We start from the raw sequence: 18,658 nt of genomic DNA, 5'->3' as shown, positions 1-18,658 counted from the left end.
TTGGATGAGACAATTCATATTTTTAATTTTCATTTTTTAAATCTTTCCTTTATGACACTATTATTTGCCTCTACTCCTAGGATCTATCTCTTATCATTATATTCTCCTCTTACTCTTCTATATTTTATGCCATGCTGGTTTCATTTATTTTCTTCATTGCCCCTGTGACATAGAATCAGTCCTAGAACTAAGCCTTTAGCGCTTCTCCAAAAATGGGAAATTCTGGAGGGTAGGAAACTAGTGAGAAGTGAAAAGCCAAACAAACAAAAAAAAATAAACAAACAAAACACTGAGAGTGGCACAAGATGTCACTCTAATTAACTTACAGAAATTAATATGGGAAGTATGATAGGATTTATTGAGGACCAACATAGGATAAAACTTTGATTCATAAAAGTTAAACGAGGTGCTCTTTAGAGTAACAATGCCCATGTCTAATTATTATTTTTTTTAATTTTCTTTTCAATTCTCAGCAAGGCAAGTTACTTCTATATAGAAAGGTGCGCACTTACAGATGGAACAATGGTGAGCACACACTTGGACAAGGGAGGGGAAGGGGTTCTTATCCCTGACACATGTGGCCCCTGCTGCTGTGTTGTTCCCCTATTGGCTAGGGTTAGACCACACAGGTTAAACTAATTCCGATTGGCTAATTTAAAGAGAATGACAGGGTGAGTGCTTTGTTGGGAGTCAGGGCAGAGCAGATAGCAGGTAATTGGAATGAGTTAGGGTGGAGCAGGTGATCAGAATGTGTTAGGGTGGAGCAGGTGATCGGAATGAGTTAGGGTGGAGTAGGTGATCAGAATGAGTCAGGGTGGAGTAGGTAATCAGATGAGTCAGGGAAACGAAAAAGGTTGCTTCACGAGGAAGTTTACAAGTAAAAGGCAAAGAATTGAACATACTGACATATTAATTCTTTGAAAAGAAATTTAGAACCCATATCTAACAATCCTTCCCCTTGTATTCTTTATAGTTTTCTTTTCAAACCTTTTTTTCTTTTTTTTTTAACATGGCTTAGCTGTTTTGCTTGATTTTTCAAAAGAAGTTTCTCTGGATAAGGTGGAGGATAGTTAAGGGAGGTTTTAGTAAGTGCCGTTTTTATGAGCCTCTGCATCTACTTACGGATGTATGGTATGACACAGCACTTGACAAGAATAAGTACACCTATTACGGCTGCGAGGGAAATAAGAATCGAGGCTATTATTCCTTTCCATTTACTGAACTACTGTTTTAGCCATCTTGTAAAGGGGTCATTTACCCCTGAGTTACCGGCTAACTCATTTGATAGAGCAGTCAGACCTTGCAATGCCTTTGTTATACTTCTATTGGGGGCAGTGTTGTTTGGGATGAAGATACAACATTGAGTTTTAATCATGACGCAAACTCCTCTTTCTGCTAATATCATGTCTAAGGCTATTCTATTTTCCTAAGCCATCTGGCTAGTGGCCCTAATTGCTCAGCTATTCCTTTAACAGCATCTTTAGTGTAGTTAATAAATCGCTGTTGGTTGTAGTAGATATAGTTTATCCAATCTACATTTTTATTAATGGTCGCCCACCAAAATATTGACTCAAATTCTGCAGCTATTTGATTTTAGGCTTTAAACTGATCTGATATTCCCTGTGGGACTCCAGTTGCGTTTAAATAGACTTGAGAGTCGAAAGACCTATAAGGGGCTTCTCTTGCTTTACAATGTCTTATTTTTCCTTCCTCTGGTTGTTGAAATGCCAGGGTGAAAGGGATAGCCAATTGGACTAAAGCGCAAGTGCCACTCCAGTTATTTGGCAGAGTGTCCAGTAAAGGTCCACCACAATACCACCACACATCTGCTTGGGGATGAACAAGGGCTAACTGATTGATAAGCTCTTGAAAATTTTTAAGCTCACTGCATCCCTTCAGGTCTCTAAGGAACACTAGGTTTCCTCCCTGTCATGAGAGACACAAAGTTAACTTACTGTTGGGAGACGGAAGCTGGATGGCCCTCGGGGGCTGACCCGCAGGGTGCCGGACTTCAGGATATAGCAGAGAGAGAGAGCTTGGTACGACTTATTACTCCAGGGTGTAGAATCCTGGAAAAGAGCTACCATGCAGCCCATGCCTGGTCGACTGGAGGACCACCTTAGTGGAAAGGGGACAATCTGGGCCTCTGGCTTGCCGTGCGCACAAGTGTAACAATTGCTTTTGTTTAATGTGTGGACGGAATATTTGATCCATTCCAACTAGGCATTTGCATCTTGGTATCCTGTCTTAATTGCCAAAGTTTAAGTCTTTAACTTCTATGATTCTCTAGTAAAATGAATGTAGGGTTTTAGGAAATTACAAAAACCAGTTGGTTTTTGTAGTCCATCTTTGCAGTCCATCTTTGCTCTTCAGTGGGCCACAGAACGTTGGACCAACTACAGCATAAAAGCTCTACATCGGGGGCAAGACTCCTGGTTGACATTTAGGTCTTTATCGAAATCTCCTTGGATTAAATGGTCCCAATTTACTAATGCCCAGTCTGAGAAGAGTCAGGAGGGACACAGGTACTTTTCCTTTTCTGAAATAGAAAACTGTCTTTGACCTGGTAAGTTCCTTCAGGGTATAACAACGCAAGCATTAAATGCAGTAGTTTGAGGCAAAATTGACTTGCTTATGTTAATAACTAGATGGTCAGCAACAGATAGAGGAAAGAATAAAGAGTAATAGAATAGATGAAAGAGAGTTAAATTTTTCTTAGCTTTAGTTCGGTAGGGTTTTCCCCTGGGACTATGGCCCACGACTCTGGAGGGGGTGGCACATTCTTGACTCGGGTGTGATGATTCCATCCCCTTTTTGCTGTACGAACAGCAGTCTCGGTGGTTAGCAGCACAAGGTAGGGTCCTTCCCAGGATCGCTAAAGTTTTCTTTCTTTCCACCCTAGATAAGAACGTGATCTTCAGGCTGGTTCCCGTTTACCGGAAATTCTAGGGATGGTACCTGTGCTAAAAGACTTTTAGTTTTGAGGAAAAGGAAAGTGGAAGATAAACCAAGTATATAATTTCTAAGAAATTGACCTTTTAAGTGTGGGGACATCTGCAGAGGACTTTATAGTCCTTGGTGCCTTCTTACTGAGAAATTTCCTTTAGCACCTATTTTTATTAGTTTTTAGACCAAAGAAAGCCAAATACCATTTTATATTTGATAATGCTTCTTGTATGATTTTTATACCCGATGAGCTAAATTTCACCTTTATATTAGTGTGTTATTAATGTTAAACTTAGTTTTAATAAAACTTTGTAGATATATTTATTCAATTTTTAATGTCTGGCCCTAAGGTAAGATTTTATAGACTCTTTTTAACCTTTTATAATTTTTGTTAAAGAGCAGGTTAGTGCGTTAAGAAAAACCTGTTATGCTTTTACTGTCCAGTTCACAGAAAAACTGGATGATACCTCTTTAACTTTAGCGAGTATGTTTACACACACAATTTTCTTTACAATTAACGTTTTACAACTTGCTTAAACCTTTAAAACAAAATATATATTTTTTAACCTGTTAATGTAGGTAAAAATCCACATTCTTATGCCTCCCTACAATCTTTTTACCAAAAGTATATTTTACTTTTCTTACACACCTTGCACATAAACTGTTTATAGAATAAATAGTTTTACATTCAGGAGGCCTAGTTACTTTTAAATTATACAACATTTCTTGCATAAATTCCCTTTTATAACCTTTTTTTCCCACAACTTTCAGAGATATTTTTTCGACATGCCTCAACTTTCTGACTTGTCACAAACATCCCCTTTAAAAAAAAAAAACAGTTAATTTATTTCAGGACAATAATTTACCATGGAACATTCCTTTTTATGTAAATTCTCCCACCCCACTTTTTTTTTTCCCTCTTGAAGATAACCATTCTTTTTCAAAGCGAACTTCCTTCATGTCTGTGGACTAGACTGTCTAAGGCCACAAGATTAAAAGTTAGGATAATACGTGTTACACTGCTAACTTTTAGCAAGCTACGTTTCTTGAAAACCTTCTAAGTTTGGGATTTTAATTATTCTTTACTATTAATAAGACCTTGTTTAGTCCAAATTAACTTAGAATTGGTATAGATGGTTCCTTCCTGGTTCTGTTTAAGGCTTGGCTGAGTGCAAACAGCTTGCATGTTTGAGCAGACCAATTATTAGGCAATTTTCCTAACTCTGCTTCTACAAGAGTTTCCCTATCAATTACTGAATAACCATTGTGTCTTTTTCCCTCATTCACCCGGGAAGAAACATCTATGGTCCTGTCCTGAAGGGAATTCCTCCTGGGTCTGGTCGGACCTTTGTACGGTAATTAAGATTTAAATCCCCTGTTAGGAAACCTGCTGGGTTAGGGGGATTTTCAGTGGTTAATGTTAAATCATCTTTTTCTAACAGAATAGCCCCATACTTTAAGATTTTTGAGTTAGTAAGCTACCTTTTTGCTTTTTTTGACTTAGGATAGTCCTGAACTAAACTGGTGAGTTGTGCTCAGAATGAGGTTTCCTCTAAAAGTTATTTTTCTACTTTCTTCTGTTAGCAAAGCAGTTGCTGCTACAGATTGAATGCATTTGGCCATCCGCAGATTACTAGGTTAAGGATTTTTTATAGGAAGGCTACAGGTTGTCAGTGGCCTCAGTGCTTTCTGGCTATGCCCTTGTTTACACTTACAACAAGGTGGTATTGGAGTGTTGCAGGGTCACGGAGAAGACCTTCAATTATCAATTATAGGTTTTAAATTTACCCTAGCTTTTAAAGGAATAGGGTACACTGGTTTTTTTGTTTTTTTTTCTTTGTTTTTGTTTTTTTACTACTTCTATTTTTCTCTTTCTCTCTCTCCTGCCTCTCCCTCTCTCTGCCTGTCTCTCTCTGCCTCTCTCCTGTCTCTCTCTGCCTCTCTCCTGTCTCTCTCTGCCTCTCTCCTCTCTCTCTCCTGTCTCTCTCTCTGCCTCTCTCCTGTCTCTCTCTGCCTCTCTCCTCTCTCTCCTGTCTCTCTCTCTGCCTCTCTCCTGTCTCTCTCTCTCTGCCTCTCTCCTCTCTCCTGTCTCTCTCTCTGCCTCTCTCCTGTCTCTCTCTCTCTGCCTCTCTCCTCTCTCTCTCTCTGCCTCTCCTGTCTCTCTTCCTCTCTGTCTCTCTCTGCCTCTCTCCTGTCTCTCTCTGCCTCTCTCCTGTCTCTCTCTCTCCTGTCTCTCTTTCCTCTGTCTCTCTCTCTCTCTTCTGTCTCTCTCCTCTCTGTCTCTCTCCCCCTCTCTCTCTCCTGTCTGTCTGTCTCTCTCTCTCTCTCTCTCTCTCTCTCTCTCTCTCTCTCTCTCCTGTCTCTCTCTCTCCTAGGGTAGGGACCTGCGGGAGTGCAACTACTCTTTCTTCTCCCGAGAAGAAAGGAAAGGGGTTGAACGGGGGGGTTGTGTCAAGTTCAACCCTTGAAATTAGCGGAAGGCTCAACCCCTCAACACTAGGGATGTCTCACCTTGCCTGTCCCGGAAGGCTCAACCCCGTAAACCAGGGGGTGTCTCACCTTGCCTGTCCTGGAAGGCTCAAGCCCTCAAACCAGGGGGCGTCTTGCCTTGCTTGCCCTGGAAGGCTCAACCCCTCAAACCAGGGGGTGTCTTGCCTGTCCTGGAAGATTGACCTATTTCTCCCTTTCCCCCTCTGAAGGTCCTTTGCACACTTCCCACTTGTGCTGTCCTCTCTGGCCGCTCCGCCAAGGTAGAACTGCAAAGAGGACCCACTCACACTGTCCAGCAGTAGGACTTGTCACCATCCACACGAACAACACTGCAAGCAGGGTTGTTTGTGATCATTCACGCACACACACATTTAGCCCTCCAGAATTTGACCACCAAGGTACTCTACCCGCTCCCGCGGCTTCTCCTTCCTTGGTCTGTGCACAGAGTGGTCGCCGCAGTATGTGAGAGTCCTTTAAGCTAGGTTGCTGGCCAGTTTCTTTTCCCTTTTTTTTTTTTTTTTTTTTTAAATCCGCGTCGCTGAGAGCTCGGGTTATTCCTTGCACTGGGGTGGGTCTTGATTTCTCACCCCTGAGGCCACCACACTAGGGCTGGGTGCGCCTCCTCACGAGAGAGGAGAGACCGTCCTGGAGGAGAATGTAATCCCGGGAGAGACCCCAAATTGTTATATATAAAGTTTTGGTGCCACAAAAGAAATTGCACTCGCATATAAAATTTTCTTTTTAATTCTCAGCAAGGCAAGTTACTTCTACATAGAAGGGTGCGCCCATACAGATGGAACAATGGTGAGCACACCGCTTAGGTCTTATTTCTAAACTGAACTTTTTTCTGTATAATATGGTAACATCCTTTATCCTAATAGAGGGAATTAAAATTGTTAATATTTGATTAATTAAAATACAATGCTTTGACTTATTTTGGTTCATAACATTATTTCATAAATCACATAAATAAAAATTACAACTTAATGTATGGTTAAATAAAATAATGACATCACCTTGGCTCTCAATTAGTATATATACACAACTATTCCAAAGTTAGCAATTTAGAATCAAGTGAAATAATTTTTGTTTTGATTATGAAATCCATTTGATCTGGCGTGTGAAATCCTGAAAAGCAGGGCTTTTCCATCTTCCTTGGTATCTCCCATTCCTACCCACTGCCTCCCAAACTGTATGCAAATTTCTGATGAGTAAAGAAATGAATGAATAAAGTAACTGCACATAGTTAATAAGCCATTTCTTCTACTACAAAGCTCCACTATCCAATTCATGATACATCAAAAAAACAAAATTCTGGAAAACAGGAAACTATTGAAAAGGGTGAGAAAATGACATTTACAGTAATTGACCATTGCCTTTGCCACTATCAGCTTAAAGATGCTGAACCTAAGGCAACCTCACTTTTGACTATAATTTTATTTTACTTTATGCCTCTTCTTATTATCCAAATGTAAACCTCTTTTTTGGCATACTTCAACTCCTGTAGCCTTTGTGCTAACCAGATTAAAGAACTTTGAAAACCCTTATTTTGCTTTCTCTTATCCTCCCTAGAACATATAAACTAATCAAGAGTTGGATTTATCCATTGACTATAAAATACTTTAATTCTGAATAAAGAACTTAAATAAGAATGAAATCCTGTTATTAGCAGCAACAGGGATGGAATTGGAGGACATTACATTAAGTGAAACAAACCAGGCACAAAAGGACAAATATCGCTTATTCTCACTCATATATTAGAGCTAAAAAAGTTGGCCTCATGGAGGTAATGAATAGAATGGTGGTTACCAGAGACTGGGAAAAGAAGGTGGGAGAGAAAAGGCAGAGAGGTTGGTTAATGTGTACAAAAATACAGTTATATAGAAGGAATAAGTTCTAGTGTTTGAGAGCACCATAGGGCAACTATAGTTTGTGATAATTTATTGTATATTTCAAAATAACCAGAAAAGAATATTTGGAATGTTCCCAACAGAAAGGAATGATAAATGTTTGAGGTGATGGATATGTCATTTACCCAGATTTGATCATTACACATTGTATGTTTATATCAAAATATCACATGTACCCCATATATATGTGTAACTATTATGTATCCATGATAGTATAAAATTTTAAAAATTGTTATAATTTTCCTCCATGGATTAAATTAGGACAATCATTTACTTATATTCTTCCAAAAAACATAAAAAATGGAAATCTTAATAGCTAAAATTAACTGTAGGATGTTTAATTCCAGCAATATGTAAGACTACATACTTTGAAGGATTCTCCCACTACAAAAACAACTGGCACTTAAGTAAACCTTAGGTTCATCTTGTTGCATTGTTACACTCGACAGTAGTGAAAAAGTAAAGCATGTGTTTACGATTACTAGCTTATGGACAAAATAAAGTAAAATAACTGTATAGGAGCTAGCAACCATAAGCACATGCTTACTGTTGGGGTATGTTGCCAAATGCCAAAACCAGAACTGCAATTTGGAGAGTAAGCTTTAGGTCAGCCATAAGCTTTGGAAGCATAATCCTAGAAATGGTTAAACAAAAAGTATACACACAAATAAGTTCAAGTAAAAAGGAGCTACCAATAATTAAAAAAAAATTTTAAAGAATCAAATATGACCTTTAGAAGTAAAACATACAATTACTCATTAGAAAAATACAAAGCATTTGTAAAAAGATTTAACATATAGAAAGAGAACTGGACAATTAAGAATAAATAAATTTAATTAGATCCCACTTGTCAATTTTGGCTTTTGTTGCCATTGCTTTTGGTGTTTTAGACATGAAGTCTTTGCCCATGCCTATGTCCTGAATGGTATTGCCTAGGTTTTCTTCTAGGGTTTTTATGGTTTTAGGTCTAACATTTAAGTCTTTAATCCATCTTGAATTAATTTTTTTATAAGGTGTGAGGAAGGGATCCAGTTTCAGCTTTCTACATATGGCTAGCCAGTTTTCCCAGCACCATTTATTAAATAGGGAATCCTTTCCCCATTGCTTGTTTTTGTCAGGTTTGTCAAAGATCAGATAGTTGTAGATATGCAGCATTATTTCTGAGGGCTCTGTTCTGTTCCATTGGTCTATATCTCTGTTTTGGTACCAGTACCATGCTGTTTTGGTTACTGTAGGCTTGTAGTATAGTTTGAAGTCAGGTAGAGTGATGCCTCCAGCTTTGTTCTTTTGGCTTAGGATTGACTTGGCAATGCGGGCTCTTGTTTGGTTCCATGTGTACTTTAAAGTAGTTTTTTCCAATTCTGTGAAGAAAGTCATTGGTAGCTTGATGGGGATGGCATTGAATCTATAAATTACCTTGGGCAGTATGGCCATTTTCATGATATTGATTCTTCCTACCCATGAGCATGGAATGTTCTTCCATTTGTTTGTATCCTCTTTTATTTCCTTGAGCAGTGGTTTTTAGTTCTCCTTGAAGAGGTCCTTCACATCCCTTGTAAGTTGGATTCCTAGGTATTTTATTCTCTTTGAAGCAACTGTGAATGGGAGTTCACTCATGATTTGGCTCTCTGTTTGTCTCTTATTGGTGTATAAGAATGCTTGTGATTTTTGTACATTGATTTTGTATCCTGAGACTTTGCTGAAGTTGCTTATCAGCTTGAGGAGATTTTGGGCTGAGACGACGAGGTTTTCTAGATATACAATCATGTCATCTGCAAACAGGGACAATTTGACTTCCTCTTTTCCTAATTGAATACGCTTTATTTCCTTCTCCTGCCTGATTGCCCTGGCCAGAACTTCCAACACTATGTTGAATAGGAATGATGAGAGGGGGCATCCCTGTCTTGTGCCCATTTTCAAAGGGAATGCTTCCAGTTTTTGCCCATTCAGTATGATATTGGCTGTGGGTTTGTCATAGATAGCTCTTATTATTTTGAGATACGACCCATCAATACCTAATTTATTGAGAGTTTTTAGCATGAAGGTTGCTGAATTTTGTCAAAGGCCTTTTCTGCATCTATTGAGATAATCAGGTGGTTTTTGTCTTTGGTTCTGTTTATATGCTGGATAACATTTTCTGCACAACAAAAGAAACTACCATCAGAGTGAACAGGCAACCGACAGAATGGGAGAAAATTTTTGCAACCTACTCATCTGACAAAGGGCTAGTATCCAGAATCTACAATGAACTCAAACAAATTTACAAGAAAAAAACAAACAACCCCATCAAAAAGTGGGCGAAGGATATGAACAGACACTTCTCAAAAGAAGACATTTATGCAGCCAAAAAACACATGAAAAATGCTCATCATCACTGGCCATCAGAGAAATGCAAATCAAAACCACAATGAGATACCATCTCACACCAGTTAGAATGGCGATCATTAAAAAGTCAGGAAACAACAGGTGCTGGAGAGGATGTGGAGAAATAGGAACACTTTGACACTGTTGGTGGGACTGTAAACTAGTTCAACCATTGTGGAAGTCAGTGTGGCGATTCCTCAGGGATCTAGAACTAGAAATACCATTTGACCCAGCCATCCCATTACTGGGTATATACCCAAAGGATTATAAATCATGCTGCTATAAAGACACATGCACACATTATGTTTATTGCGGCACTATTCACAATAGCAAAGACTTGGAACCAACCTAAATGTCCAACAACGATAGACTGGATTAAGAAAATGTGGGACATATACACCATGGAATACTATGCAGCCATAAAAAATGATGAGTTCATGTCCTCTGTAGGGACATGGATGAAACTGGAAACCATCATTCTCTGTAAACTATCGCAAGGACAGAAAACCAAACACCGCATGTTCTCACTCATAAGTGGGAATTGAACAATGAGAACACATGGACACAGGAAGGAGAACATCACACTCCAGGGACTGTTGTGGGGTGTGGGGAGGGGGGAGGGATAGCATTAGGAGATATACCTAATGCTAAATGACAAGTTAATGGGTGCAGCACACCAACATGGCACATGTATACATATGTAACAAACCTGCACGTTGTGCACATGTACCCTAAAACTTAAAGTATAATAATAATAAAATTTAAAAAAAACTATAAATAAATTTTTGGGAATTGAGCATAAGGAGATAAGAATATAAACAATGTAAAAGAGAGTTTAAATAATATGGCAGATAGAATTAGATAGTATAACATATCTAATTGCATCTCTGAAAGGAATGAATTTTTATTAATGGAGGAAAGGAAATATTTACTGCAATCATGAGTGTGAATTCTGAGAAATGATAAAAGACATGCCACCTAAATACAGGAAACATAATACAGTCCATGAAATAAATTTTTAAAAAATTATACCTATTATGACGAAACTTGGGCAAAAAAAGATAATATGAGATCCTAAAACCAGTTAGAAAAATAAAATTAGTAAATTTGTAGATAAATTGAAATAAGCATTGTCTTTATAAATTACCTTTCTTAAATAATAATGTTTCATTATATTAAAAAATATATGACCAGACAAAAATATATGTAAATAGGAAGTGTTTTGATCTTATTTAAAACGTTTGAAGTTTTTCTATTATCCAAGTAATTAATTTTAGATTGTATTACATGTGCATGCTAAATTTTTTCAGAGCAAACACTGAAAGAGAAAAATACATAGTGAAAACAAATCAATGTATTATAAAGCAAGGAAAGATAAATGCAAGCATAAAAAGATAAATTAACATAAAGCAAAAAATAAGATGGTAGAAACACGTCCAAAAACATGAATAATCAAAATAAGTGGAAAACACTTAAATAAATATAAGTGGACAAAATCACCAGATAAATGAAAGAGACTGCCCACTATATACTAATTCCTAGAAACATCAACTAAACATATTACAGAAATGTTGAAAATAAAGGGATGAAAAAAGATGTACCAGGCAAATACTAACATGAAATGCAAGGAGTAGCTTTTTAAAGGAGATTTTTTGTATTTCACTGTAAAAATGAAGAATAGAACAAACACTTGTTTATATCCTTTAATCCAAGATCACCAGTTCTTGAGTTTTATACCAAAGAAACAATAAGATATGAACAGAATTTAATGTATAAGAATTGCCTCATAGAATTATTTGAAACAGCAAAACAACGGAAATAAACAAAATGAGTAGACATGGGAACATAAAATACATTGTGAAATATCCAAGTAATAATGCATTATGACATTATCTAATGTTTCTGAAGAACATATATTATCAAGGGAAATGGCCGCATTCTTTTCATGCCCATGGCAGACAGAGCAAACCTAAATGTGCAAGCATATATCAAGCTTCTGTAGAGTCAGGTTTCTCAAATTATCATTGACCAAAATAAGTTACATGGCCAAGGCCAAGCTCTACATCAATAATCAGGAAACAGCTGGGTGCAGTGGCTCACACCTGTAATCTCAGCACTTTGGGAGGCCAAGACAGACAGATCTCTTGAGTCCAGGAGTTTGTGACCAGCCTGAGCAACATGACAAAACTCTATCTTGACAAAAAAATATAAAAATTAGCCAGGTGTGGTGGTGCAGGCCTGTAGTCCCAGCTACTTGGAAGGCTGAGGTGGGAGGATCAGCTGAGCCCTGGGAGGTCGAGGCTACTGTGAGCCGCGATCATGCCACTGAGCTCTAGCCTGGGTGACAGAGTGACACCCTGTCTCAAAAAAAAGAAAAAAACAAAGACTAAAAAAATCAGGGAAGTAGAATCCTTTCTTTAAAATGATGGGAGGGAGTAAATATTTCTGAAAGGTAATTCCACAAACACACAACTATTAAGTGCAAATTCCACTGGCAACATTTAGTTTCATGGTAACATCTAGGTGTACAGGATACTGAAAAATACAGGTACCTAACTATATGCCCAGCTATATCATGAAAACTACAGGAATAAAGAAAACATTTTTTGGTAGAAAACTAGAAATCTCTGCCATAGCAACTCCCAAGAAATTTCAAGAATTGGTTTCATACAAACCATGCATTCTGACCATGATTTATTTCAACTACAAATACATAATAACCCAAATAAAAAAATAACCCAAAACCCATGCATATGTAAATTTGAAAATGTCCTCTACATAAGCCACAGGACAAAGAACAAACCATAATGGAAACCTTAAAATACTTAAAACTAAACAAAAATTAAAATGCTACATATAAACATCTGTGGGATGCAGTTGAAACAGTATTTGGGGAAAATTAATAGTATTAAGTACTTAAAATAGTAGAAAAGCCAACCATTAATGAGTTATGTATCAACTTAAGAAGCTGGAAAAAGAAACAAAGCATAAACTCAAAGACTATAGGCAGAAGAAGATCATAACAATGAAACTACAAAGTTATACAAGAAAAAAGCTAAACATAATGATTATAAAATCCAAAGCTTGGATCTTTAAAAGTACCAACAAAATTTATATATTTACAGGAAGAATGATGTGAGATGGGAAGGGAGGGGAAAACTGTTGGAAGGGAGGGCAAGAAATAGAATTCACAAATTAAAGAGAATATAATTATGGATCCATTTGAGATTTAAAAGATAATAAAAAATATGATAAATATTTTAAGCCAGTAAATTTAAAACTCAGATGAAATGGTCATATTCATGTAAGCATATTACTTCAGAATTTATAAAAATTGATTAAGGAAGAAATAACTTCTATTACATTACAAAGAAATCTGAATCCACAGTATAAAATCTTCCTATAAATATATAACAGTTCCAATTAGTTTTACAGAAGACTTCTACCATACATTTAAGGAATAGGTCTTCCAGGGTATAAAAATCTTTCAAAGAATAGAAGAAAGGAACTATTCCACAACTTATTCAATGATACTAAAATTATAAAAAGACAGTGACTGAACAGGAAAATTAAAGATCAATTTTATTCATAAACTAGAAGTAAGCATCCTATGAAAAAATGATTAACTAGGTCCAGTGTTATGTAACTCAAATAACACATGATGAATACATTAGTTTTATTCCAGGAATGAAAGAGAATGTTTACATTTTAAAATCCATGGCAACATTTACCACATTAAAATATTAATGGAGAAAACAGTCTCAGAAGCAGAAAATACAATACTTATTCATGATAAAATAAAATCTTAAAACTTAAACATGATAAAATTACCAATCACTTATGGTCAAAAAAATTAATATACTCATGGTAAAACACAAACTTTAAATATCAAAGGAAAACAAATTTTTTCAACTTGATAAAGAATAACCACCAAAGACAATAAATATCATTCCTTGTGTTGAAACATCAGATGCATCACCTTTAAAATCACAAATAGTATAACCACCACTATTTAACCACTTCTATTTAACTTTCTGGAGGACCTAGACAAAGCACAAATATAAGAAATACAAATAAAAATTTTTAGAATTGAAAAATGAAAGTCACAACTATTATTTTTCACAGATGATACTACTTACAAAGAAAATTCCCAAAAAGCCTATAGACAAATTATAGAAACAGGGGGTTTAGCAGAAACACTCTATTTCTGATCAACTTGTAGTAATCAATGCATATCTATACAATAGCAACTAACAAAACACATTTTTTAATTTATGCATTCCTTCAAATTTACATATTTATGGGATAATTACTATTTGCCAGGCATTTTTCTGGCACTGAGAATATAGCAGTGAATACAATTAATAAATATTCCTGCTTTCATGGGACTTACATTCTAGTGGGAAGTGATACAATGAGTTAATAAGTACAACATAGCATATGAGAGATATGTAAGATAGGCAAAAAGAAAAATTAAAGTAGGATAGAGGCCAAAGAAGTGCCAGTGAATTAGAGGCAGCATTAAAATTTAGATTGGATGGCTATGAAAAGTCTCTCTGAAAAGGGAACATTTGAGTAAAGCTTTAAATAAAGTGAGAGATGAGCCATCTGAATTATCTGAAGGAAAATAACACAGACAGAAGATAAAAACTCAAGTGCAAGAGCCTCAAGGTGGGGCATACCTACAGTGTTCTATAAATAAGTAGAATTTGTAGGAGGCTAGTGTGCCTGCAATTGAGCAAAAGATGGGAGGGTAGCAGGAGATAATGTCAGAGAGGTAAAAGGGATCTAGGTAATGTAGGGCCTCAGAGGTTATAATGACCTTACCTGTAACTCAGTAAGATGGGAGGTTACTGGAAAATTTTCAGCAGAGAAATGTCATGGACAGACTTATGTTTTAAGAAGATGACTGTGGCTGCTGTGTTCAAAAGAGACTGAAGAAAAGTAAAGACAAAAGCAGAGATCAGTTAGGAGGCTTTTGCAATAATACAAACTACAGACGGTGGCAAAAAAAAAAAAACAGAGAGCAAAAGTGCTAGTGGTAAGAAAAAATGAAAATGTAGATATTTTTTCAAAGATAGAGCCAAAATAATTTCTTTTTCTTATCAGATGTGAGATGTGAGAGAGAGAGACGTCTCAGGGATGACTCTAGAGTTTTTTGGCTAAGTAACTAAAGTGTGGAGTTTCCATTAATTAAGAAGGAGAACATGGAAGGGGAGATAATTGAAATGAAGAAATGACATTTAACTGGAGGTGTTCAGTAAGCAGTTGGATATATGAAACTAGAGTTCAGAGAAGAGATCTCAGTTGAAGATGTAAATTAAGGGATAATTAATATATAGGCAGAATTTAAAGCCATAAGACTGGATGAGATCACCTAGGGAGTGAAGACAACCAACAGAGGGTCAAGAACTGAGCCTTGAAACACCTCAGTATGCAGAGATTCGGGGGGTAGGGAGCAAACAATAGAGGCAATGAAAAATTATAGCAGTTACTTGCAATAACAAGGCCTAGGAAATGACTATGAAAGTGAGTTAAGTGGATCACTGGAGGAGAGGCTGTCAAGGAACTGAAACTTCAGAGAGTTAGAAGGATCATCCATATCAACATTTCAATCATGAAGCATTATGGAGGAATCACTTTTAAGAAAGTGACAATATCACGGGGATTAATTTTTTTAATTGACAAAAAGATGAGGTGAGAAGAGGTGCCCATAACAAAAAGGTACAATGAGTGGGCAAATCTGATGACATGAGATTCACGGAAGGGTATGTTCATGAAGGAGGGAGAACAAACTGAAAGCAGCAATGAGAAGCAAAGGGGACACTTATCTGACTTTCAGGACCTATGCTACATTTGAGTGGAGTAGAGAGAACAGTTACCCTTAAAGGTACTGTAAGATGTGATGTGTTGTTGCTCTCTCATACTGGCTTAGGAGAGCTGAGTGTGGACATCAAGTCCCAGGCTCCTTATTCAGTGAAGTGAGAAGATAGCTTAAATGGCTATGGTGTGAGTGTTTAACAGCACAGAAACTGGAAAACACTATACAAATCAAGGCTTTTGTTTTCTTCTTCCAAAGAGTTGATTGTTAAAACATTTACCAGAACCTCAATGGATGCAGGGGAAACTATCATGAAGGAAAATCTAGATTTTCATTAGCACAGAAGGTGAAGGGAACACTCATAGTAAAATATTAAAATATAAAGGACTTTTTTGTTGACTGACCTTGAATTCAATAGAGTACAAAGAAAGGGTTTGGGGAGTCAGAAGAGGGAAATATTGGGTCAAAAAAAAAGGATCCTTACGGAGGATTAGAGTTCTGGGATAAATGATTAACTGGAAGTCCTGGACTCCTTTTATGAAGACTGTAAAGAACACAGATAAAGGGTATGGGTGTTGACGAAAGGGAGGATTGGAGGAGAACAAGCCAGGAACACCTGTTGCTCAGAATTTCCCATTTGGCTCCTGCTGACAAATGTCCTGAAGATGGGCAGTCTTAGTCGATGTGCTGGTGTGCACTGTTGTTCTCTTGTCTCCTGCCAATAGTGTCCTGCAGAGGTACGGTCTTATTCCAAGTTTGAGAGTTCCCTGTCCACTGCTGCTGATGGAGGCATGGAGTTAGACAGAGGGCTGTTCTCGCACTGAGCTCATAAGCTTTCTCTTGATTTCTGTTGAAGGAGGCCTCAAAGCCAACAAAGGAACAAGCTTATTTATTTAAAAAGATATCATATACAAGAGCAAAACTATAAGGTACTTAGAATTATATTTAACAAAAACATGTACAAGATCTGCATGGGGAAAATTATAAAATTGTTATTGAAAGATGTTAAAGAATGTCCAAATATGTGGGGAGATAAACTATGTTCATTCACGCATTGAAAGATTCAATATCGAAAAGATGCTAGAATCTCCATATTAATGTATAAAAATATAAAATATTTCAATAAATGTTATGAGAATTTTTTTAGGAATTTAGCAAGCCTACTATTAAATTTATAGGGATAAATAAAGGTATAAGACTAGCTAAAACACTTCTGAAGAAGAATAATAGTAAGGTGAAGATAATTACCTTAGGATATATCCAAATATGTTAAAAACTAAAATAATCTAGAGGTATGCTACTGCCACAGGAATAAACAAACTCACCAGTGAAACATAAAAGAAAGTCCAGAAGCAAACTCATGTATGCATGGAAACTAGTTAAATAACAGTTAGAGCTGATACTTCAGACCACTGAAGAACCATATAATTGTGTTGAAACAGCAATTATCTGAATAAAACAAAGTGAAACTGGATTCCTACTATACTCTACATGAAAAATCAATTTCAAGGAAATTAAATATTTAAAATTGTAAAGCAAAATTGAAGTGATGTTCTATCCAGCCAAAGTGGTGTAGACTCAACTGTCCCCCATTCTTCCCTGGTAACTAAACTATAAACCCTGGAAATGATGCAAGAGACAATCTAAGGGGAACTCTGAAAGGTGGAAACAGGGAGGTAAAATGATCAGAGATTCCAGGACTGGAGGAAGAGCATAATGATAGGGCATTTTATCATTCACCACCCAACAGAAGAAGGTGAGCCAGCCCTGACTCCCAATCTAGCAACAAAAGGCAATGTGATCTCTAACCATAATGGAATCAAACTAGAAATCAAACCGGAAAATCTCTAAACACCTGGAAATTAAACAGCACACTTCTAAATAATCTATACGTCAAAGAGGAAGACTTGATGGAAGTAAAGTATATTCAAAACTGAATAAAAACAAAAATACAATATAACAAAATATGTGGGATTCAGCAAAAACAATGCTGAGAGGAAAATTTATAGCACTATATTCTTACATTACAAGATTAAAAAGTCAAATCAATAATTTAAGTTGTTACCTCAAAAAAGTCTAAAAGGAAGAACATAATAAACCCAAAGCTAGAAGAAGACAGGAAATAAAGATAAAAGCAAAAATCAATGAAATTGAAAATAGGAAATTAATACAAAAGTTTACAAAAAAGCTGGTTGTTTGAAAAAAAGTCCATAAAACTGATAAATTGCTATATAGCAAGACTGACAAAAATAAATGGGAGAAGAAACAAATCACAAATATCAAGAATAAAACAGTGGTATCACTATAGATCTTGCAGTTATTAAAAGAATAATAAGAGAACACTATAAACAACTTTATGCCCATAAATTTAACAACTTGGATGAAATGGAACAATTCCTAAAAAACCACAGACTACCAAAACTCAAGTAAAGTGAGATAATCTGAATAGTCATATAGGCATTAAAGAAATTAAATTTGTATTAATAATTAAAAAGCTCCCATCCAAAAAATCCCAAGTCCATATGGTTTCACTGGTGAATTCTCCCAAATATTTTAAAGAGAATCAACAACTACTCAGCAATTTAATAACATGATCAGCTACTGATCCACACAACATCTTGGATGACTCAGTGGAATTATGCCAAGTGTAACAGTCAACCCCCAAAAGTTAAATATTATATAATTCCATTTAAATAACAATCTTAAAATTAAAAAAATTACAGAAATGAAGAAAAGATTAGTGGTTTCCTGGGGTTAGGCATGGACAGAGCTAAAGGGAAATCAGTGTGGCTATAAAAGGGCAACACCAGGGATCCTCTGGCAGGCAGAACTATTCCATACCTTGATTATATCAATGTCAACATCCTAATCTTGATACTATATTATAGTTTTCCAAGATGTAACCGTTAGGGGAAACTGGGTAAAGACTGTATGGGATCTCTCTGATTTATATCTTACATATGTATGTGAATCTAAAGCTATCTCAAAGTAAAAATATTAGTTTTAAGAAATTACAGAGACAGTACAACACAGTAAAATTTAAATAATTTCTATAGATTAAAATAAAAGTATTTTATCAATGTTAATTTCTTGATTTAGATAATTATATTGGGTTTATGAAAGATAA

General features: G+C 36.3%; 1 protein-coding gene across 21 annotated transcripts in view, besides 1 other annotated feature; it reads right to left on the bottom strand.

The window, feature by feature from the left end:
• Nucleotides 1-18,658, bottom strand: part of SPAG16 (sperm associated antigen 16) — a 1,126,038-nt gene that overhangs the window by 997,603 nt on the left and 109,777 nt on the right. Inside the window, exon 10 of one of the 21 annotated variants that reach the window (XM_011511827.3) lies at nucleotides 11,400-16,392. The exons of 19 other annotated variants lie outside the window; for them this stretch is intronic. In XM_011511827.3, the coding sequence (XP_011510129.1) occupies nucleotides 16,207-16,392 (186 nt within the window). In that variant the 3' untranslated portion in view covers nucleotides 11,400-16,206. Of the gene's footprint in view, nucleotides 1-11,399; nucleotides 16,393-18,658 lie in introns of those variants that run through there. One more of the 21 variants, XM_011511837.4, reaches the window with a different exon arrangement.
• Nucleotides 171-1,370: an enhancer, noted in NCBI's record as "MED14-independent group 3 enhancer chr2:214276253-214277452 (GRCh37/hg19 assembly coordinates)". NCBI's record gives its function as "activates an origin of replication core promoter dependent on BRD2, BRD4, P300/CBP and CDK7 cofactors, and independent of MED14, by STARR-seq in HCT116 cells {active_cell/tissue: HCT116}" and the evidence as "EXISTENCE:reporter gene assay evidence [ECO:0000049][PMID:35650434]".

This window comes from Homo sapiens, chromosome 2 (assembly GCF_000001405.40).
Source record: "Homo sapiens chromosome 2, GRCh38.p14 Primary Assembly".
NCBI classification, from domain to species: Eukaryota; Metazoa; Chordata; class Mammalia; order Primates; family Hominidae; genus Homo; species Homo sapiens.
This window is presented reverse-complemented; position numbering and strand designations above follow the sequence as displayed.